Here is a 22,977-nt window from a genome sequence, read left to right as displayed (position 1 = left end):
CCACAGGCCCACCTGGTTCCGGAAGGTCAAGGCCACCACGCCACCAATGAGCTCCATGATGAGGCAGATCCCAAGGATGTACATGAACTGGAAAACAGAATTCAGAGACTCACCTGGAGAGGAGCAGTGGGCGTGTGTGGGGTACAGGGGAGGCACCATCTGCTCCAAGAGCAAGCACAAAGAGAAGCATCCCTCGGGGAGCTCCTACCAGCTCCTAGGCCTCTGCCCCCTCCTCCTGTGAGAACGTGGACGTGGACAGGCAGGCCCCAGGAAAACCTGTCTCTGGAGCCGGAGGGCAGGAAGAGTGACTCAGCTGTCCCAGCCAAATGGTTACCTCCATTTGTCTTGGGGGTCTATGTGGAAGAGCACGCCCTTCCCCCACCACCATAAGGAGAGCTGGGCCTCGTTGCCACTGAGCCAGAGGGGCTAGGCCTGGCTTAATGGGCAGGCTGGGGCAGTATGTCCAGCTCCCCACAGAGAGCCCTCAGATGTGACTTCCCAGATCCCCCACAGTGGGTGAGGGGGATGGCTGAAGCTTAGAGGATATGCACCCCCACCTCTGCCCTTTACTAGAGAGCAGGCATTACCCAAACTGATTTCAGCAAATTCCAGCCTCAAGTAGCACCCAAACCCGGTTTACAGTGGATCGTAGGGGCTTCCCATATGAGGGGAGACAATGAGGTCAAGAGACACACAAGTGCAGAGTGAATGGATCTGCCTACTCACTACCCCCAGCTTTAGGGAGTCATCCCTCACCCCACAATAATGGGATACAGGTAGGATTGACTCCCCATGCCCCATCCCAGAATGGGCACATGGCCCAAGCCAGGCCCACCAGAGTCCTGGGACTTTGGCCAGAGCTGGTAGGAAAGATTTCCTGAGATCTAGAACCATAAGGACTTTGTTGGCCTGACGCCGGCAGTGACCACTGCAAAGGGAGCAGCCCCGGCTGGCAGGGGCTGGGGAGATTGCCCAACCCTGCCCAGTGGCGCCATCTAAACCCCTGGACCCAGTGTGGGTTTGCTGGTTGCATGAGCTAATGACTCACTACCATCTCCTTTTTTTGTCTTTGCTTGCTCTCATTTGAGTGTGGTTTTTCCTACTCGCAACTGAGCATCCAGATGAACACAGAGTTTAAGTAAGAACAGTATTCAAATCAGCTTTTACATGCAGGAGGGGAGGTGGCCTGGGCATTCTTGGGCCAGTGTGGTCAGATGGGCTGATCTAAGGAGCTCTCTAAAGGAGGTGGTTTGAGGCAGGGACAAAAGAAACTGAGCTGCCCAAGGGCACAGGGGCAGGCGCCCCAGCTCTCCTGGGGAGTCCCGGCTGAGGGGTGGTGTGGTCCACTCACTGCTTGGAGAAGGTACAGGTTGTCACGGAGGGACGCCAGCACACCAATGAAGGAGACCATGAACATGACGACGCCCAGGAGGATGAGGATGATGGCTGGAGCCAGGAAGGCACTTTCAAGGGTTTTATATTTCTGCCGCTCAACCTCTGCATAGATGCCCACAGACAGGACCAGGGCCCCAATCAGCTGCAGCAAGAAAACAGAGGGTGAGAGAGAGACTGAGGTCACTTGATTTTCTACAGCAAAGAGTCATCTGGGGCTGTGGTACCTGCTGTGGGGGAGGCTTGCCCCAGGTTACAGCACAGAAAGGGCCCTGTTAGCGGCTGAACTGTGTTTCCCCAAATTTTCTCTATTGAAATCCTAACCCCCAGTACCTCGAAATGTGACTATATTTGGAGACAGGGCCCTTAAAGAACTAATTAAAGTTAAAATGAGGTCACTAAGGTGGCCCTAATCCAATATGACTGGTGTCCTTATAAGGGGAAGAGATTATGACACAGACACTCACAGAGGGAAGACTGTGTGAACACGCAGGGAGAAGGCAGCGTCTACAAGCCAGAGACAAGCCTCGGAAGAAATCAACCCTGCAGGCCGGGCGCGGTGGCTCACACCTGTAATCCCAGCACTTTGGGAGGCCGAGGCGGGCAGATCACGAGGCCAGGAGATCGAGACCATCATGGCTAACACTGTGAAACCCTGTCTCTACTAAAAATACAAAAAAGCAGCCGGGCATAGTGGCGGGCACCTGTAGTCCCAGCTATTCGGGAGGCTGAGGCAGGAGAATGGCGTGAACCCAGGAGGTGGAGCTTGCAGTGAGCCGAGATTGTGCCACTGCACTCCAGCCTGGGCAACAGAGCGAGACTCGGTCTCAAAAAACAAAAAACAACAACAACAACAACAAAAAAAAAAAATCAACCCTGCCACCTTGATCTTGGACTTCTAACCTCCAGAACTGTGAGAAAATAAATGTCTATTGTTTAAGCCATTCAGTCTGGTACTTGATGTTATGGCAGCCCTAGCAGACTACTACAGACCCAATCTGGAGATGCCACTTTAGAGGAGAGTATAGATGGGTTAGGGGAAATGCCACTGGCTGGAGGGTCAGAGAACATGGGTTCGAGCCCCAGCTCTGCTACTTGCTAACCCTGGGCCTTGGACAGGCATTTGACCATGTGAGTCTGTGTTCTCATCTGAAAGACAGACTTGAAGACATTCATTTCTGCACTGCTCACACCACGGCTTTCGCGAGTGAATGAATGTGGAAACACTACAAACCTGGAAGTGCGAGGCCGCCACAACGCGTATTAAACAGGCAGGTCACCCCGTGCTCAGGGCAACAGACATTTCACACAGTACCATAACACGGAATTTACTTTCAGGATGACCACAGAGAAGGCCAAAGGTTGGAGCAGGAAGAATTTTGAGGGAATTCGCAAGTAGAATCCCTCACTCAACTTTTCTAATAGTGGACATGCTGTCACAGAACACCCTGTAACTTTCCACTAGGAGAACCCAGGCTTCTTGATGCTTGTCAACTGCCATGTGTGCTCACCCCAGGGCCTTTGCACAGGCAGTTCCAACTGCCTGGAATGCTCTTCCCCTGACACACTCATGGCTTACTCCCCCATCTCCTTCTCTTCTTTGCTCAGTTGCCGCCTGCAAAGGGAGGCCCTTCAGGGCCACTTTATTTACAGATGGGAAGTTCCTCCCCATGAAACTCCTGATCTCCTTTCTCTTTTTTATTTTCTCCTTTGCACTTACCAGTATTTAACATACTACACTATTTCTGGTTGGTTTTTTTTTTTTTTGAATTTGTCTTCCTCACTAGAACATAAGCTCCAGGAGGGATTTTTCAATTGCTTCGGACATCCCCAGCACCAAGACATTCTGACACTGAGGAAGTAGAATCAGCATTTATGATCAACATCTTCTGAATGAACAAGACCTGGGCTTTCCAATAGACCCTCTGAGTTCAAGTCAGGCACTGTCTACCCAGTCCCCTGCCTGTCCAAGGATTCTGACTTTCTGGGCCTCATGTTCCAGAGGGCAGGGACAAGTCATCAGATAACTGGACTTCTCCACTAAGCTGAAGGCAACATGGGAGAGTAAGTGGAAGACATGGTGCTGTCAGCTAGGGTCCAAGGAAAGGAAGGGATGATACAGACAGATGTTGTCGGGAGGTGACATGAGCATAGCCACCCCAGTGTCACCATGCAAAACACCGAGGAGGCCGCCCCTCCAGCCACTCACAGGGCTGCCTGAGCCTTAAACTGACTTCATGGGTCTCCTTACTGATCATCATGTCCTTAAGCAGATGCCCGTGACCTCCTTCTAAAGAGAGCTAAGTCCTGAATAAAGGGAAGTGACTGCTTCCTCCTAAGCTTTGATGCGTGACGGGGATGCCAAAAGTCAAATAAGCAGACAGAGCTTATGCAGAAACACAGGATAACAGAGGATTACCAGGAAACCATCTCACTTGGATCCAGTACTCTGCTATGTTTCAAGGCTAAGTGCCATTCCCCTTGGTTTGAAAATTAATCCAGGATTAGTGAGACCTTTCCCCCCAGTCTAGAAGGATGCCTTTCCAACACACAGGCCGGCAGGGACTCAAGACACTGACAAGCTCAGCCATCAGCCACTTACTAACAAGTTGGCCTTAGAAGGCAGGACACACACATACACATACTCATCCTCTACAGGAAAATGAAGACCATGAAAAATATCTACTTTTTGGTAGAGAAAGGTAAACCAGAGACTATCTGGACAGACACAGTCATGCTCCAAAACCCAGAACATGGAGAAATCACTGTTTGGGGGCAGCCTAAGTGCCCCAGGTCCTCGGAGAGCAATGGCGAGCAGCCTTTAAAAAGCCAAGTCCAGGCCGGGCGCAGTGGCTCACGCCTGTAATCCCAGCACTTTAGGAGGCTGAGGTGGGCAGATCACTTGAGGTCAAGAGTTCGAGAGCAGCCTGGCCACCATGGCAAAACCCCTTCTCTACTAAAAATACAAAAATGAGCCGGGCTTGGTGGCACATGTCTGTAATCCCAGCTACTTGGGAAGCTGAGGCAGGAGCATCGCCTGAACCAGGGAGGCAGAGGTTGCAGTGAGCCGAGATTGCACCACTGCACTCTAGCCTGGGTGACAGAGCAAGACTCTGTCTCAAAAAAGAAGAAGAAAAGAAAAGAAAAAAAAGGCCAAGTCCCCTTCCTCAGTGACTCCACCCATGAGGAATCACTCACTAAACTCTAAACCTGGACAAATAAAAGAGCCCTGAGGCTCATCCACCTCAAAGCAGAGAATCATGGTTAAATAAGAACCCCATAGAGCATGGAAGTTTTCAGAGTCCAGGCATGGAGTGAATAAAATATTCAGGGACTCGGGTACTGGAAGGTAGCAGAGGTAGGGTTTTATCTTCCATTTTGATGAAAAGCGTAATTCTCACCCTGTCGTGGAACGAACACAACTATTGTATCTTAACATTTTCAGAACTGGCCCGATATACTTTTGAAAGTTCTGTGTTCCCTGTTGTAAAAAAAAAATGCTTCTTCTTCCCTGGCAGGATGGGGACAGCTGACATCCTTCCCCATTCCCCTGCCCCCATCCTGTTCCCATTCCTCCTTCCTGCCTGAGACTGTGCTTCTGAGTTAAGGTAGTCTGCTTTGGAAACCATCCCCCAAACACCAGAGCTGCCACTGGCCCCAATGCTGAGCAGAACTGACCCCAGCCCTCTCCATAAAGGCAGTCAGTGGCTTCTTCTATTTTTACAAGCTCCCCAGAGCCCTGGGACCCACTCCAGAACACCCTTGCTGGCAGAAAACAAAACCCCTTGCTCTGATCTCACTCTCTGCTGTTATAAAGCATTGCCATTTCCTTGCTAGTTAGCCTTGAGACATTTCCAGACCATAAACCCCATGGGAAAAGCTCCCAAAGCAAATGTAAACCAAGAACTCCCTCAAGCAATCCTAGGCCCTATTTCTCCTGGTCTAGCAGAAGGAGCTGCCACCCCAACCCTCCCAGCAGCCTGGCAGGCAACTCCCAGGCAGCTCCCCATACAGCACAGGCCTCTCTGGCCTCCCCATTCAAGTGCTCCCAAGAGCAGCGGGCATGGGGAGAGGCCAGCATAAACCTTCCCAGGAACTTCAAAATTTCCAAATGATATTTACATCTCTGATGACATCAGTTTATCCATCTGAGGATAAAATTATCTGTCAATGCCAGCATGCAATCCCATCCGCTCCACTCTGCTAATTATAGCCTTCCACTAGGCAGCCGGCCACTCAGCTCTAGAACAGGAAGCAAATGGCCCATCTGTCAAGCAGGATGGCCTCAGCTAAACAGGGCTGGGGGTGGGGGGCACACGGCCATGCCCATTTGGGGCCAAAGAGGGAAAGTGCGTGCTGCTGGCAGCCCACAGCCAAGCCCAAAAGCCCAGGCTTTGTGAACCACGTGGCATCTTCAACAGGCTGCAGAGGAGCCCTGTGGCCCAGCATGAACCAGACCTGAAGGTCCTCTGCATCCTGGAACCCTGCTTCCTCCTGTGCAGGGAGAGGCCCAGTTCCAGGCAGCTGCTGGGAAGCAGGAGACTCTGTGAGGCATTCCAGCACCTGTGCCTCCTGAAGGAAGCATCTGGTCACCCGTGCCGGCTGGCTCACCACAGCTGGGGCAAATCTGCACTTAACGAGGACCTGCAAGGCCCATTTTCACCCCCAAAAGGCAAATACTAGGCTCTGTTGTGTTCCAGGCCCTGTATTACGTTCTATAGGCTCACAAGGGGCCAGAAGACTATTGAGAAGGGAGAGTAAGAGAGGCTGGAACTGATGGTCCAATGGATGGAATTTAGGGAGCTCTCAAACTGGAGATGGAGAAAAATCCACATCTTTACTTTTGTTTACCTCTAACTGAAATATCCCTTCCATGTGGGATGTGGGCAACAAACTGAAGTAGTATTAACGGCACCTGCAATTTTGTCACCAGTAGAAATCACTTTACAATTATTCTGAATATCTTAAAATGTCATTTACATTCCTCATTACTTCAAAATTATGATAGTATTAGGCTCACTGCTAGATCTTGTGATTGAATGCGCTGATAAAGTTGCACATTATTACATCAAAAATTTGGTTGTATAAAATGTTAATAATTGTATCCTACTATAACTGGTTTCTTTTGTATCCGTGTGTATTTCGTTTTATGCATTTAAATATCTTGTTCTGAAAAAGGATCGATCCACGGGCTTCCCCAGAGAACCAAAGGGTCCCTGGCACAAAAAAAGAACCCCTGGTCTACAGGAAGCAAATATCATTCCTGCCATGGAGAGGTGAAGAGGGCTCTAGGAATTTGAACAAAAGTGACAGGGAAGAGGGAGAGCGCAGAACATCAGGATGAGCCCCCTGCCAGAGCCCGCATTTCCTGGAAGGCCCTGAGAACCACTTCATTCCACAACCGTCTCATGGAGTATTTGAGGTCCAGGGCTCCGTGTTGGACCAAAACAAAGCGCTTTTCAGACTTTCTAGCTTGAAAGGGGGTGGGGAAGAGCTAAACTCCAAGGCTTGAGAGAGGTTTTGAATAAAGTGGGACTAGCAGGACCCCCTCCTCCTGCCCAGAGAAACCCTGCACCTCCCTTCCCAAGGCCCTCTGTCCCGAGGCCCATCCTGCCTGGCCCCAGACCAAGCCCACCCTGCAGACAGCCACCTGCTCTGCACACTGCCACCTGCTCTGCACACTGCCACCTGCTCTGCACACTGCTGCCCCAGCTTCTCCTGTCCCAGAGCAGGGTGCTGGCGGGAGCAGCAGAGGCAACATAGAAGGCAGGAGTTCTGGGCCTCCATGGGTGAGCTCAGTACCCTTGGCCATGTCACTTCCCGCTTGTGGGCCTCATTTTTCACCTGTAAAACAGTAAAGCCTGTTGGCTCTTATAGTGATTATGCTTTGCCACTATCCTGTCAGGGGTCATACCTGCATCATCTCATCTCCCTTAATCAACATACCCCCTCAAACATCCAAGGAACAACTAATCTCGTTTTACAGACTAGGCTCAAAGAGACTAAGCAGCACAGAACCCATGAGACAGTCAGGATTCACAACCAAAACTCGTCTGCCTGGCCAGCCACTAAGGCTACCAGATGGGCCTTTTATGAAGAACTGGGGGGAAAGGGGTGTGAAACACCTTTGCAAAATACAAAGCCGACAATAGCGGAGCAGCAGTGCTGAGAACTTCCTAGATGATGCCAACACCTAGTGTGGTATCCACGAGCCACGTGTGGCTAGCAAGCTCTTGAAACGGGGCCCTGGTGCCTGAGGAACTGAACCTTCCATGTTATTTTGCTTTAAGTTAAATTCGACCACAGGTAGCTGGTGGCCACATTTTGGACAGCACAAGTCTAGAGCATCTCTCGCTGGTGCTGCCCCTCACCACTCCTACAAGGTTCCTTTCTGAAGGTAGAGCCCATCCTTATGAAAAAGGTGGCCGGGTGCAGTGGCTCATGTCTGTAATCCCAGCATTTTGGGAGGCCAAGGGAGTTCGAGACCAGCCTGCCCAATATGGTGAAACCCCAACTCTACTAAATATACAAAAATTAGCTGGGTGTGGTGGCGTGCACCTGTAGTCCCAGCTACTCGGGAGGCTGAGGCAGGAGAATCACTTGAACCCGGGAGGCGGAGGTTGCAGTGAGCCAAGATTGTGCCACTGTACTCCAGCCTGGCGACAGAGTGAGACTCTGTCTCAAAGAAAAAGAAAAAGGCACATGCTTCAACCCTCCTGCCACAAGCTAGGGAAGGCTCAGCAAGTATTCACCAACTTACTCGGGAGAAAACAGTCTTCTCTCCCACATCCCCAGGGCAGCTGGGTTCCTGCTGTCCCACTCCCCTTTCCTGTAAGGAAAGCAAAACAGACCAAGGATAGGAGGTCCTGGCAGTGCCCCCAATCCAAACCGCTAAAGGGCCCATTCTGTCTCCCCTAGGGAGCACCGGCCCCACCTCCAGGACCACCAGGCGGTACTCTAAGTTCTGGGGACACTGAACCTCCATCCCACTGACCTGGCCCTACTTATGCTTGAGGAACGGGGCTCCCCCACAACCCCAAATCAAAGCCAGCTCTTGAGAAAGCAGCAGAGGCTGCCTCCTGCCGCCAGCAAAGGCGCATTCACTTGTCTTTGTCACTAGTACTTTGCTGTCGACCCTGCCTTGACTCTGGACAGGACTTCTTCCTTTATAAAAACTGGACATCAAGTACAGAGAACCTGGTGAATTGTAATCCTCAGTCCCTGACATTCTCTGACACAGCCTGCTTTTGTTACTTTTTTTTTTTTTTTGAGACCCTTTGAGACAGGGTCTCACTCTGTCATCCAGGCTGAAGTGCAGTGGCGTGATCATAGCTCACTGCAGCCTCGATCTCCTGAGCTCAAGCGATCCTCCCATCTCAGCCTCCCAAAGTGCTGGGATTACAGGTGTGAACCGCCATGCCCAACTTTGTTTGTTACTTTTGGTAACGTCAGAGCACATTGATCAAACCAGTCCTTCTGTCCCCACTGATCTGCTATGACCCCACTGTCATACTCTAAGGTTCTACATATGCCTGGGGCTGTTTTTGCCTATCTCTTCCATTGGTCATTCTGTCTGTCCCTAAACAAACCTCCTTATTGTAATGACTTCAGTTTTACAACACATCTTGCCATCTGGTAGGCCAAGTCTCTTCTTCCTGTCTTCTTCAGAAGTGTCCTAGATATTCTTAGATCTCGAATCTTCCATACACATTTTAGAATCATCTTCTCAAGTCTCGGGAGGAAATCAACTGAACTGGACGTTGATTGGAACCAGAATGAATCTATAGATCCGTTTGGGGAGAAATGACATTTCTACTCTAGCAGGTCTTCCTGCTCCTAAGTGAAGAAATAATAAATAAATATTTATTATTTGTAAATTATCCCTTTATTAATGTTATTAAATAAATAATCCCTTCTTAATTTATGGTTTCTTTAAAGAATTATGGCTTCTTTAACAACAGTTCTCATTGCCTCCCTCAAGTTTTCCATGGTGTCTGAGCTGGAGAAAGACATCTAACGTCTTGGGTTCATCAGTTCAAAGGTGACAAACATAGCCTTTGGAAAACAAACCTCTCTAGGAAGCAAAGTGGGCACACCAGTCTGTTTTGCTACCCCTCCTGTTGGCAATAGTTGCAGATACTTGATTTAAGACTCCCACAGGCACACAGCACATTCCAGGCTGTGAAGGAGCTAGGCTGGGAGTTTTGCAAACCCCAGTTATTCAATCCAGCCAGGGCAGAGAGTGGAATTTCTAATCCAGAACAACCACAAATGAAGCACAGGGTGGGAGTGGGGATGGCATGCCCTGGGCTGTTTTGGGGAAGAGTTTGGGGACAGGCAGGTAGAAGCGGTAGAACAAATAACTGACCAAGGCATTCTGAGACAAGATGCAGAGCAATTACTTCCTCCTGGGGAAACCAGAGAAGGACTCTGAAGGATGCACAGAGTTTGACTTCATGCAACTGGACCCTCCCTGAGCACAGGGACTGGCCTAATATATCTGCTGGGAGAATAAATCTGAGAAATGGTTTATGGCTTCAGACGCCTGTAAGCCCAAAGAAGGAACTCTGCGATGATCCCAGTCTGGAACAGAGCCTTCCAAGGCTTAAGGATAAGAATGACTCATGGTTAATCGGAGAACCACAGAAACAGCCATGGGAAGGAGAGTCAAGAGCAACTTCATCTCCACCCAACACCCTCCTCCCCCTGGTTTTCTTTCTCCCTCACTCTCCAGACCTCTCTGTCTCTCTCTCCCCACCTTCCATGTGTCTGAACCAAGAGAGCCACGGGCCTGCCTCCCAAGGCTGTGTCCCCAGCGTACATGGGTAATGGTGTCTGGTGATTTTCTTCCCAGATCTCAGCCCTGGGTGGACCTCCGGCCAGGCCCCCCCAGACCCCGCTGACTCAGTAGCCAGAGGTCAGTCAGAGCAGAAGACAGTGCTCCCGGATGCACCCTGGATGTCTGGCCCTGGCAGTGAGACAGGAAGTCCCCAGCTCAGGCCACTGCCAGCAGCATCCTCTGTCTGGGGTTGGAGCTCTAGCTGCGGGGTAGGAATGGGGAAAGGAGACTGGAATTCTGGGTATGGGCTTAGGGAGCCCAGGAATGAAGAGCTGGGTGGGGTGGGCTGGAGTGGGGCTTGCTTCCTCCCAGGGTAACCGCTCAGGGGTATATTCCTGTGTCAAAGTACTGCTGGTCACCCCTCCTCCTCCTTCCTCTGGCCAGGACTGTGTCCCTCTGCAGCCCACAGCACCCAATCAGCTAAGCCTCCACCACTCGTAACTATAGGCCACCACCAGCAGAAGTGAGTAAGATGGCCCAGATCTTCCTTCTCTCAGACCCTTTGAAAGGAGACATGGGCTCACAGAGATGACAGGAGGTCTTTGTCCTATACAACAGCCTCCAGTCCAAGGTCCTGGCAGCCTTTCGGAGCCCATCCTGTCTGGGAACTGGTTCATGCATCCCCTATTCCTCCACTGGCCTAGGGTCTTCCCTAGAGACTGCCTGAGAGTTATCCTCATGGGGCCCAAAGTGAGGGCAAGAGGAGTTCCAGGGAAGGGGTATGGGAGTGCCCTGTGGTCTCACTGTCCTGACCCCTCTGGGCTGCTGAGAGGAGAAGCCGCCATAAGGGAGAGCCATCTGAAAAGGAGCAGGCGGTGGGGAGAGCAGGTGGGGGGAGGAGGGTGGGCAGAGATGAAGGGAACTCCAGCAGCAGGAGCCGAGGATGTGAGGCTCAGTCAGAACTGCCGGCTCCCAGGGGACACCTGGCTGAATCAGGCATATAGAAACTGTCTCTACACAACTTGGGCAATGTTAAGGCTTATTATTATTTCATGTATCTTGTTTTTAATGTTAGATGTAGTTTCCTATATAAAAAAGAAATGCATCAAATTGCTTTTTATATATGTGGCCCTTGGTTTATTCTTTCCCCCTTTGCATGGAATCCCACATCGGAACTGTACCCTTTGCCCCTGAACTATGGATAGAAGGCAGAGGAGGCAATCAGATCTCAAGTGTCTGGAACGTGCAGGGCCTTAATGAAGATAAATGGCCCCAGTCCAAGGGCTCATGTCTCCAAAGAGGACAAAGGGGAAAGGGAAGGAGCACTGGGCGGCTGGCCACATGGGCACCCTAGGCTCCAATCCCAGCTCTGCTATCAACTCTTTGTGACCTTGGGCAAGTCCCTTACCTTTTCTGAGCCTCAGTTTCCCAGTTGGCATGACAACCCCAAGGGTTGCTCTACTGCTCCGGGAGTCCATGGAAATTCCCCTCAAATCCTGGCACATCAGCAGACTGTGGGCGGCCCCCCTCCTCCTCTCGCCCCACACACTGCTCTGACTCCGCCCCCACGGGCTGCCTTCTGCTCTCCCACCCAGCCCAAGGATGTCACATTTCCGCAAGGGTAAAACCCTAAAGCGGACAGCAATGCCTTCCCTCCCCAGCCTTGATGAAGGCACACACCTCCAGCACTGCCTCCCATAGCAGCCTTGGAAAGGAGACAGTTTCCTGGAAATACTAAAGCCAAAAGGGGCTCATACCCATCCTCCAAGCTCAGCTCAAAGCCCTCCTCCCATCGCTTGAGCCCAGGAGATCAAGGCTATAGCGAGCCATGATCGTGCCACTGCACTCCAGCCTGGGTGACAGAGCAAGATTCTGTCTAAAAACAACAACAACAAAATGCCCTCCTCCCCTGGGAAGTCTTCCTGGATCACCCCAGCTATAGGGATATCTCTCCACTTCTGAATATCTATAAAACCAACAATGGGAAGCCCTTGCTGGTAGTGATATTGAGAGTATTAACTATGCCCTTTGGACAGGGAATTCCGGGTATCTCTTATGGACAGCATACAGGACATGGTGGCTAGATCCAGCAACACACATACAACTTTGCCCTCAACAACTTCACAGTCTGCACGTACTATGCAAATGTGTTAGGATGTCCCAGAAGTTCACAGAAGTTTGGTGACTTAGTTACAAGACCACACTGTCCTCATGGAAGCCAGACAGAAAGTGGTTAGGGCCCAAGCCAGTTCACAATGGCCAAACAAACCACAATATCCTGAAGCCAGATGCCACGCAAAAGCTCCTGGGACCCGGCAGGCGCTCAGTAAATGTTACTTCTTCCCCAGTAACCATGTAGCACTGTTGTAATGCTGACATTTCAAAACCCAAGTCAGAAGCCAGAAACCATTTCCCCTTCAGACCCTCTTTGGTCCAGGGTTAATTCCAGGGAGGGAGGAGTCCCTATTCTGAATTCCAAGGCAGCACTCACTGATTCCACATACACTAAGCACCTCTTATGTACCAGACATTTGGAATAAGCAGATAAGATGAGTTCCTGTCCTCAAGGAGCTCTGTCTGGTGAGAGACATACCAGCACACCAACACATGTGGGAATCAGCAAAACCCTGGGGTAGATGTGATCAAGTGTGCAAAGGCGCCAGAGAGGAGACACTAAATCAGAAAGGCAAGATCAGGGAAGGCTTCCTGGAGGAGGTTACGTTTGAACGGAGTCCATTTAATGGACAAGCAGGAATTCCTAAGGTGGACAATAGGGATAAGGAGTTCCAGATGCCCATGAAGGTACCACAGGAACAGCAGGTCAGGTCAGCAGAGCTGGAATCAAGGACAGGCAGAGGATGAGGGAAGGGGAGGCGAACAGGGAGGTTCACAGAAGCAAGAGCACCAAGGCCAGGTCTCATGGGTTAAGCCAAGAAGTCCATTTATTCACATGACATCTATTGACTGAGTGGTTTTTGCACACCAGGCATTGTTTAAAGCCAGTGGGTCTCAAAGTTTTTGGTCTCAGAACTCCTTTTCATTGTTAAAAATGTTTGAAGATTCTGGAGCTTTTGTTTATGATGATATCCATCAATTATTTACCATAAATTAAAACTGAGACTTATTTTAAATATTTATTAGCCCATTTAGAAATAACAAGAGATAGCTGGGAGCAGTGGTTCATGCCTGTAATCCCAGCACTTTGGGAAGTGGAAGTTGAAGGTTCACTTGAGTCCAGAAGTTTGAGACCAACCTGGGCAACACAGGGAGCCCTCATCCCTACAAAAAGTAAGAAGAATTAGCCAGGTGTGGTGGCACGGCTCTGTGATCCCAGCTACTTGGGAGGCTGAGGTGGGAGGATGGCCTGAGCTCAGATCAAGACTGCAGTGAGCCGAGATTGCAATACTGCACTCCAGCCTGGGTACCAGAGTCGAAAGAGAAGGGGAGGGGAGGGGAGGGAAGAGGGGAGGGAGAGAAGGTGGGGAGAAGGGGAGAGTGAGAGAGAAAGAAAGAAAGAAAGATTGATTTATATGTTAAATAGCATTTTTCATTTAAAAAATTCCCCCAAAAGACACAAAAACTGAGTGGGCAGAGTGGCGTGGGCTCTGCATGTTTGTAAATGTTAACGTCTGGCTGCCAAGAAAGCAGCTGGATTCTCAGATCTGCTCCTCATTGGCTCCACTGCCACATCGAGTGTTCAGGTGCCTCTGGAATACTCCATCACATGCTCCCAAGAGAGTGGCAGTGGGAGTCTTACTATTACTATGAAAGTGGTTCTAGATACAAGAGCCCCTGAAAGGGGAACCCAGAGGTCCCTAGACCCACTTTGGGAGCTACTATTTTAAGAACTGGGTGTGCAACGAGAGCAATGAAAGAAAACCACAAAAATCCCAGCTTTGGTGGAGCTCACATTCTACTTGCGCAGAGGCAAATAAGTAAGAAAAACATATACTGTGCTATGGTTATAAGTGCTACTAAGAAAAATAAAACGGGGAGGAAGGCTAGGGAAGCTGGGGAAAGGGGCCGTCAGTGTGGCCAGGGAGGGTGACATGTGAGCAAAGACTTGGAGTAGAGGAGGGACCAAGCCACACGGATACATGAATAAGCATCCAAGCAGGCACCATGGCCTTGGGATGTGCCTGTGTTTTCAAGAAACAGCAAGGGGGACGGGGCTGCTGGAGAGGGAGCATGTAGGAGATGAGGCAGTGGGCTGATCAGGAGGGGACTCTGAGGCCACTGAGAAGACTTGACTTTTGCTCTGAGTGGATGGGAGGCACTGAAAGTTTGCAGAGAAGTGCTCTGTTCCAACTGTGATCTTTTTTTATTTTAAATAATTGAGATGGGGTCTTGCTATGTTGCCCAGGCTGGTCTCGGACTCCTGGGCTTGAGCAATCCTCCTGCCTTAGCCTCCCAAGTAGCACTTGCCACCATGCCTGGCTGTGATCTTTAAAAGAGTTGCTTGGACTGCTATGCCAAGAGACTGGGAGATGCAGGTGGGAGGGGCTGGTCAGGGAGCTACTGTGGTGACCAATGTGAGGTGACAGTGGCCTGGACCACAGTGGGCATGTGAAGGTGTCTAGAAGCAGGCAGTGTATTTTGAGGCTGGAATAGGGAAATAATTGAAATAATTTAAGCAGGGGAGTCTCACATTCAGATTAACTTTTAAAAGTTCTTTCACCAGGGTGTTTCACATCAGCCTATGTGTTCATCATCATGGGGAAAGGTGCCTTTGCAATGGAGAGGACTGGTCAAGTTCAGCCTGGCCAACCATGGTGTGGCCAGATAGCACACACCCCCTAATGTGATATTCCATACCTCCCGCTGCACACCCTGTGAAATGCTCCTGCAGGAAATGTGTGGCCTGAACCTAATCATGAGGAAGCTGTGAAGCTATGAAGCAACTCAGACATCCTACAGATCAAGTGGCCTGGAGGCTTCAAAGGACTCAAAAGAAGTAAGGATAGTCTAGCCTGGGGGAGATTAAAGAGACATAGAGCCAGAAGTAATGTACAAACCTTGGGTGGATCCTGAATTGGGTAAAATATCACCACAAAGAACATTTGGGGAATGAGGTGCTTTCCAATACCATCAGACAGTTCTTTGATTCTCTTGAGAGACCAGCTGGGTGTCGTACAATTTAATTCAACTCTGACACATTTACCTGGAGTTAGCATCAGATCCCACAGGTTAATGTGCTCAAGCCCACGAGATTAGGCTGGGCATGGTGGCTTATGCTTGTAATCCTAGCACTCTGGGAGGCCAAAGTGGACAGATTGCTTGAGCCCAGGAGTTTGAGACCAGCCTAGGCAACATGGCAAAATCTCATCTCTACAAAAAAATGCAAAAATTAGCTGGACGTGGTGGTGTCCACCTGTTGTCCCAGCTATTTAAAAAAATATTATTATTAAAAGTAATGGCAAAAACTGCAATTACTTTTGCACCAACCTAATACGTGGGAGGCTAAGGTGGGAGGATTTCTTGAGCCTGGGAGGTGGAGGTTTGCTTGAGCCTGGGAGGTAGAGGTTGCAGTGAGCCAAGATCAAGCCACTGCACTCCGGCCAACCTGGGTGACAGAGTAAGACTCTGTCTCAAAAGAGCCTACAAGATTGCCTGACCTTCAGATGCCAATCACAAGTCCAGGACTCAAAGTCTGGCTATAAGTCAGGGGTTCCCACAACCCCTTCTCCAAGTTTGATAATTTGCGCGAATGGCTCACAGAACTCAGGGTTACTTATATTAACCAGTGTATTACAAAGAATACAACTCAGGAACAGCCAGAGGGAGGAGATGCACTGGGCAAGGTGGGGAGGGAGCTCCCAGGCCCTCTCTGAGCCCACGCTCACCCCTTAACACCTCAGTGAGTTCCCAAACCCAGAAGCTCATCAAATCTCATTGTTCAAGAGTTTTTCTCTTCTACTGGTTGAGAGCTGGAAAAAAAAAAAAAGTTTTACATAGAGCTCAATCTCCAAGCCCCAACCCCCACCCCCACCCTCACCCTTTCTGTCCAGCCCTCTAATTATTTGGTGTTTCTGGTGATTCGCCCCATCCTAAGGCCGTCTAGGGCCTTACCCTAAGTCATCGCATCAGCGTAAACTCAGGTGTGACTAAACGGGCTCATTATTAATAACAAAAAGCATTCCTATCAGGAAATTCCAAGGGTTTTAAGAGCTCTGTGCCAGGAACTGGGGACAAAGAACAAACATATTTCTTACAACACAGGAATGTCATAAGAAATGTGGCCTGTATATAGGACTGAAAAGTTTGATTTCATGGTGATTTTTTTTTTTTAATCAGATGGACAGCAGTGGTGTGAGGAAGAATGCCCTTTCTGGGAAGGCGAATGCTGGGGTATTTAGAGGAGTGGGGTCACAACGACTGCAGCCTCCTTGTAGCTGGGTTGGCAAAAAAAGAAGTGGTGTATTTAGAGAGAGCTCTTAAGACAAGATGTTCACAACTGATAACTCAGAAGCAGGCAGATGTTCTTTGAATTCCTCCTTCCATTTTTCTGTGCGTTTAACTTTTTCAAAAAAAAAAAAAAGTCCATTTCCTCTATCGCAGCTTGATACAGAAAGTATTGATTAGGGGATACTCCAGCCACCTGATAATGCTCCCCATCTGGTATGAGAGAAGGGAGCTCTCTCGGCCCTACCCCAGCCTACCCCAAGCATCAGAACCAAGGAACAAAGAGCCACTGCCCTACACATCAGTGCACTGACTTGCCAAGAGCCATGACCCGGCCACACCAGGGCACACCGGGTCTCCCCAGGCAGGCTGTGGGCAGCCAGCTGGGGGTCTTTCAGTTCTTTAGAGCATCTTTCCCCAGTGCCTGACACAGGGCCCAGTGTGTGCACCTGGTGATTAAGGGTGGGGACTCAGGGAGTCTTGGGTCTGGCTTCCAGACACCGATCAGCTCTCCTAATGAGAACGTGGGGGAGGGGGGCGGGGGCTGGAGTCTCATGGGTGGGGACAGTTTTCCAGGCAAGCCTTTCCTAATTGGCTTTCTGAATTTCCCTTAAACAACAAAAGGAACCAGCTGGCCCCGGTAGGTCTTGGATCAGGTACAACGTAGGCAAGTAACACACGACAGTCCCCATCAGGACCCCAGATGCTATAACATTCAGGGCCTCAGAGGTCACCCCTCAAGTTTCAGATGCACTGGGACATTTTTTATGAAAAAGAAACCCAACGCAATGTATAAACTGTGATGCTGGGTCCTGATTTTTTTAAAGACACTATGAGAGATGTTTTAGGGACAATTAGATATGTTTTTGCATAAACTTAGTATTTTCTTAGGCATGATAATGGTGTTGTGGCTATAACTATATCCAAGAACATTCTTTCACCTTTTCTACAGCAACCAAGTTCTGTTTTCCAAGAAGAGGTGTGTGTGTGTGTGTGTGTGTGTGTGTGTGTGTGTGTTGTTTTGTTTTGTTTTGTTTAGAGGAGACAAGGTCTCACCCTATTGCCCAGGCTGGACTACAGTGGTGTGATCATAGCTCACTGCAGCCTCAACCTCTTGGGCTCAAGCGATCCTCCTGCCTCAGCCTCCCAAGTAGCTGGGACTGCAGGCACATGCCACCACACCTGGCTAAAGGAAGAGGTTTGTTTACTACAGGTTTGCGTCTTCCTTTGCCTAAAGCTTCAGACCAGATTCAGTGCCATCAGGAAAGTCTCAGTGGCCCCAGGCAAGGGTCAGCTCACCAGAGGCCTGGGTCTGGTGGCCTGTTCTGGCCTGGAATTAATGCCCAAACCAGATGTTTCACTAACTGCTACTTGGAGCTAAATACAGGCTGTAATGGGAACCTACCTATTACACATCCAAGTGCACCTATTAGGAAACAGGGTGCCGAGGGCTTTAGAACATGCCCCTCACTGCATGGGGAAGAGGCCTGGGGGAAGGGAGAAGGAGGGTCTCTTGTCACCTTAAATCCTTTTCTCCTCTGCTTTAAGAAAATCAGGACAAGAGAAGATGCATGCGACAAGCCAACATGACCATGAAACCCTGTGCAGAAAGTGGCAGCCGGGAAAGGAGGTAAAGGTCAGGAACGGGCTCCCAGAGGGCTGGCGCTGATGCGACCCAGCAAAGAGCCCAGGCCAGCTGCAGGCGCTGGGCCACTTACGAGCTGCACAATGCTGGCCAGACCATCTCCCTCAGAGCGCCAACTGCCTCTCCACTGTGACATGGGAATATAATGGTCACGCGAAGGAGACCCTGAGGTGGTGAAACTCCTTTGTAAACTGTAAGATGCTGTACCATAATGAGAAGCCACTTCCTTCTCTAACAGTCAGCAGTACACAGACTGTGTTAAGTGTCTGCACCTGACCAAGAGGTGCCACACTGCCTACATTCCCAGAAAAGAGCTGGAAGGAACCACTGAGAACTCCCAGTGTCTCCCAAACTCCAGCCATTCTCCTATCACGTCTCCACGTGGTCAGGTTGGCCAGCTACTTGCATTATTATTAACTCGATGTTTTAATAAAACCCCACTGGCTTTTCTTACTCAAGTAAATACGGTCCTGACCTAAACTAATCAAGATCTACACAATCACAAGTTTGAGGTACTAATTATTTTTTTAATACACATCACACTTCCCACATGCATATTAAAATGTTTAAATGTTCCCCCATGGCCCAGCTACAATCATCTTGTGCACCACCAGGAATCAGCGGGGGGATGCTGATCTGGCCCAACCCCCTGATTTTGCAGACGGGAATCTGAGGCTGAGAGAGAGGCTGGCACTCCCACAAGGTCACACCACAAATTAGCCCTCACTCAGCAGCTGCGACCCGGGTCTCCCAGCTCCCAGGCCAGTGCTCTGTCACACCACAGGCCACCCTCCCTCATCAGGAACAAGACTTCTCACGCCCTGGCATATCCTATCCAAAAAAATAAAAATTAAAGGATGCATTTCTGAAGGACAGTGATGCTGGCCCCACTTCTGCCTTCCTGCAGCTCCAGAGAGCCAGTGGGATCTGGGCCCTGGCCTCTGGTGCCACTTCAGGTCAGCTTGCTCCCTCTATCCCCACACAAGGTGGCAACCGGCCCACCTCCCTAGGGGAGCCTGTGGCCCCTGCCCTGGGAAGCTGGTGCTACTCCAGCAGAGATACCAGTCCCTGTGTTAGCAATGTCTTGTAACTTCTACGTAAAGTTACAAACCTGACCGGGATGGCCTTCTGGAAGCGCAGAGCTTCGGGGAGGATCAGAGATGCCCTCATGCCTAGAACATGTTTGATGAGTGACTAAATGACCAAACCACCCATCCCCAAAAAGTCCATCACTCTAAGAAAAGTTCTTCCAAGAAAGAAGAACAAACATCTAGGCCAGGAAGGAAGCTGGTAAGTCTGCCGAGAGAGAGAGGCTTCACACCCCACCTCTAGCTCTCACGAGTGAGTTACCTAACTCTCTGAGCATCTCTTTCCCAAGTGCAAACCAGGCAAGAGCAGCGCTGTCTCTTAGGTTGCTGGAGGTTGAAGTGAGAGAATGGCTAGAAAACAGCTCAGCCCAGAGCCTGGCACACAAGAAGGGCTCGTTAACTGTTAGCTTTAAAGACAATATAGGACAACCTAGGAGGATGCAGAAGGCACAACCCAGCTAGACAGAGTGTGGGGGAATTCCTGGCTGAAAAAAGTCAAGTTTCATTCCATGTGAGGCCGGCACCAGAAGACCACAGTGGAGAAGGAAAATACTGTAGAAATGAACAGGCCAGAAGTAGGCCCCACCCCATCTCAGGGTCTGTGGGTCCCTGAACAACTCCTGCCCTCATCTTGTCTCTGCTCTGAACATGAGTCTACCCACCTAGTGGTTGGAAAGCCAAGTGGCCACTGCCACCCCCAGGGGAAGCCCAGAGCCCAACACCCCGAAGCTAAGTGTCTCTGCCACAGCCTCCTGGGAGACTCTGGCCAGGCCTGCTTGCCCCACCCAGATCACAGAATGTCTGCAGCTGTCAGAGCATGCTGCTAGGACTCAGTGAGTGCCAGCTTCTCAAGGGGACAGGGACAGGGCTGGTTCATCTGTCCCTGTGACCCGGTCCCTCCCAGGTCAGAGGCTGAGTCAGAACCAAGCCAGAGGCATGAACAGGGTTCCCCCAGCCTGGGTTCTGACCCTGCAGAGAACATTCTTCCCTTCTCTGTGAGAAGTCATAAGTCAGGCCTCTGTCCCCACACCCTGGCTGGAGAGGAAGCTCCTGGTTTGAAACCACTGAGTAGTGTCCATTGTCCCCCCTGCACACTAGAGATTGTCCCATTGGCAGAGTTTCAGAACCAGGGGCACATGCTGGGTGGCTTGGGGCTTGGTTTCCTTCTCTCTGAAAGGAAGGGGTAACACTAGATGCCCTCTACGGCCCCTCAAAGTTCAACCCACTGGAAGTTCAGGCCACATCCTAACTGCCCCACACAATGGGTGACGCTCCTGTTCTGAAGCTGTCAGGGAATCCCACGTTTTACAGCTCAGCTTGGCAAGCAGTTTTGATTTAACTGTTTTCACAGCCGGCAAGTCCTTCCTGAGAGCTAGCTCGCATCCACCTTCCCCGGTTTTAACCTCTTTCCATTAGGTTTTCCTTGCAGAAGGGAAGCCCCAAGAAACCAGCAGTAGGGCATGGCCCCCTGGCCTGAGGACGGGACAGAAGCCTCACTCCCCACAGTCTCACTCCTCCCCCAACCCCTCTGTTCTCGCCCCACTCCTTCCCCCTTGGTTTTCAGCACAACCCACAGAAGGAAGGTGGTTCTCAGGGCCCTCCCTGCTCAGTTGGGCCCCTCCCTAATAAGTCCACCTGGTGAGGCAGAAGGGCTTGCATTTTCCTATGGCTGCCCGAACAAATGACCACAAATGGGGTGGCTTAAAACAGAAGTTTAATCTCTCACAGTTCTGGAGGCCAGAGGCCAAGGTGTCTGGTGAGCCATACTCTCTCCGGAGGCTCTAGGGGAGAAGCCCTCTTGCCTCCTCCAGCTTTTAGTGGCTCCCAGAGTTGCTCGGTTTGTCTGCCCCTGTCTGCACACAGAAGGCCGTGTATACTCAGTTTCCTCTGTGTGCCCGTGGCCTCCTCTTCTGTCCGTCTCATATCTCCCTCTGCCTTTCTCTTATAAAGGCACTTGACACTGGATTTATGGCACACTCAGGTCATCTAAGATGATTTCATTTCAAGATTTTGAACTGAATTATATCTGCAAAAACCCTTTTTCCAAATAAGGTTACATTCACAGGTTCTAGGACCTAAACATACATACCTTCATACTTTTTTTTTTTTTTTTGAGACGGAGTCTCACTCTGATGCCCAGCTGGAGTGCAGTAGCGCCATCTCGGCTCACTGCAACCTCCACCTCCCAGGTTCAAGCAATTCTCCTGCCTCAGCCTCCCAAGTAACTGGGATTATAGGCATGTGCCACTATGCCCGGCTAATTTTTGTATTTTTAGTAGAGATGGGGTTTCACCATGTTGGCCAGGCTGGTCTCTAACTCCTGACCTCAAGTGATCCACCTGCCTCAGCCTCCCAAAGTGCTGGGATTACAGGTGTGAGCCACCGCACCCGGCCAAGAACATACCTTTTTGATGAGGCCACGACTCAACCCACAACAGAGCTCACCAGTCAGAGTGAGAAATCAAGGCCTCATCCTTCTGCTAACTGGCCCCTAGCTTACCACCATGATCCCAAGCAAGGTCCTCTCCCCTGTCTGGCCCTCTTTCACCATCTGTGAAGTAGAGATAGACCACCACCTGCCACACCTCTCCTATGGAGGCCAGAACTGCAGTTCACTGACCTGGAGATCACAGCCAGCTTTCCAACATGATAATCCTGCATCGAGAGTTCTCAAACTCGAGATATCATTGAAGGAGGAAAAATTATCACAGGCCACCCCACAAGTTTCTGAATCCCTGACTCATAAAAGTTAAGACTGATTCTATAGAAACTTATTCTATTTACAAAGGTAACTGCATAGAAACCTTGCCTTTAGAGCACATAAAAGAATGTTTTGAAGACAACCAAAAGGAAAGCAAAATTCTAGAACTCACAGACTCCCCTCCCTCCCACAACATCATCCTGGTTCCCTGCAGGAGAAGCCAGCTCCCATAGTCTCCCACATTCCCAGGCCAGTGGTCTCCACATACCTCCACCAGCCCTTCCTCGCCCACATGGGGCCCTACTGACTCCCCCTGCACTTCTCCCAAACCCCTGGCTAGAGTGTTCTCTTTCTTTCTGGGCCTCTCCCAACTGTGTTTGCTAACTTTCCCCAGCTCAGAGAACCTGTCCAGATCGTAAGAGATGTCAGAAGAAGGTTTCACATTACTCAGGATTCACCTGCAGAGACAGGTGTCCTGGAAATCGCCAGTACCATCAGAATTCCCTTACAGATACCACCCTGAGCTGTGGTTTCGACTCCAGCTGCACGTTAGAATCACCCAGGGAAGTTTAAAAATCACAGGTAGGGCCAGGCGCGGTGGCTCATGCCTGTAATCCCAGCACTTTGGGAGGCCGAGGCGGGCGGATCACGAGGTCAGAAGATCAAGACCATCCTGGCTAACATGGTGAAACCCTGTCTCTACTAAAAATACAAAAAATTAGCTGGGCGTGATGGTGGGCACCCATAGTCCCAAGCTACTCAGGAGGCTGAGGCAGGAGAATGGCATAAACCTGGGAGGCGGAGTTTGCAGTGAGCCGAGATCACGCCACTGCACTCCAGCCTGGGCGACAGAGCAAGACTCCGTCTCAAAAATAAAATAAACTTAAAAAATAAAATAAAAATAAAAATATTACAGATAAAGCTAGGCACGGTGGCTCACGCCCATAATCCCAGCACTTTGGGAAGCGGA

General features: G+C 50.3%; 1 protein-coding gene across 8 annotated transcripts in view, besides 3 other annotated features; it reads right to left on the bottom strand.

The window, feature by feature from the left end:
* The window catches only part of TSPAN15 (tetraspanin 15), a 98,044-nt gene that overhangs the window by 64,281 nt on the left and 10,786 nt on the right, over positions 1-22,977 (bottom strand). For 6 of the 8 annotated variants that reach the window (XR_001747072.2, XR_007061951.1, NR_147091.2 and 3 more), the window contains exons 2-3: positions 1,352-1,537; positions 13-87 (exon numbers count right to left, since the gene is read on the bottom strand). The exons of the other annotated variants lie outside the window; for them this stretch is intronic. Coding sequence is in view for 3 of the 6 variants with exons in the window: in XM_017016010.2 (XP_016871499.1) it covers positions 13-87; positions 1,352-1,537 (261 nt within the window). In the remaining 3 variants the exon portion in view is untranslated. The remainder of the gene's footprint in view (positions 1-12; positions 88-1,351; positions 1,538-22,977) is intronic. 8 annotated transcript variants of the gene reach the window in all.
* Positions 9,881-10,175: an enhancer, noted in NCBI's record as "tiled region #14270; K562 Activating DNase unmatched - State 20:ReprD". NCBI's record gives its function as "activates a minimal TATA promoter and a strong SV40 promoter by Sharpr-MPRA in K562 cells {active_cell/tissue: K562}" and the evidence as "EXISTENCE:reporter gene assay evidence [ECO:0000049][PMID:27701403]".
* Positions 19,631-20,030: an enhancer, noted in NCBI's record as "active region_3493". NCBI's record gives its function as "activates an Ori minimal core promoter by ATAC-STARR-seq in GM12878 lymphoblastoid cells {active_cell/tissue: GM12878}" and the evidence as "EXISTENCE:reporter gene assay evidence [ECO:0000049][PMID:35858748]".
* Positions 20,171-20,260: an enhancer, noted in NCBI's record as "active region_3492". NCBI's record gives its function as "activates an Ori minimal core promoter by ATAC-STARR-seq in GM12878 lymphoblastoid cells {active_cell/tissue: GM12878}" and the evidence as "EXISTENCE:reporter gene assay evidence [ECO:0000049][PMID:35858748]".

Source organism: Homo sapiens, chromosome 10, assembly GCF_000001405.40.
Source record: "Homo sapiens chromosome 10, GRCh38.p14 Primary Assembly".
Classification (NCBI taxonomy): domain Eukaryota; kingdom Metazoa; phylum Chordata; class Mammalia; order Primates; family Hominidae; genus Homo; species Homo sapiens.
Note: the sequence above shows the minus strand (reverse complement) of the source record. Positions and strands in the feature narration are given on the sequence as shown.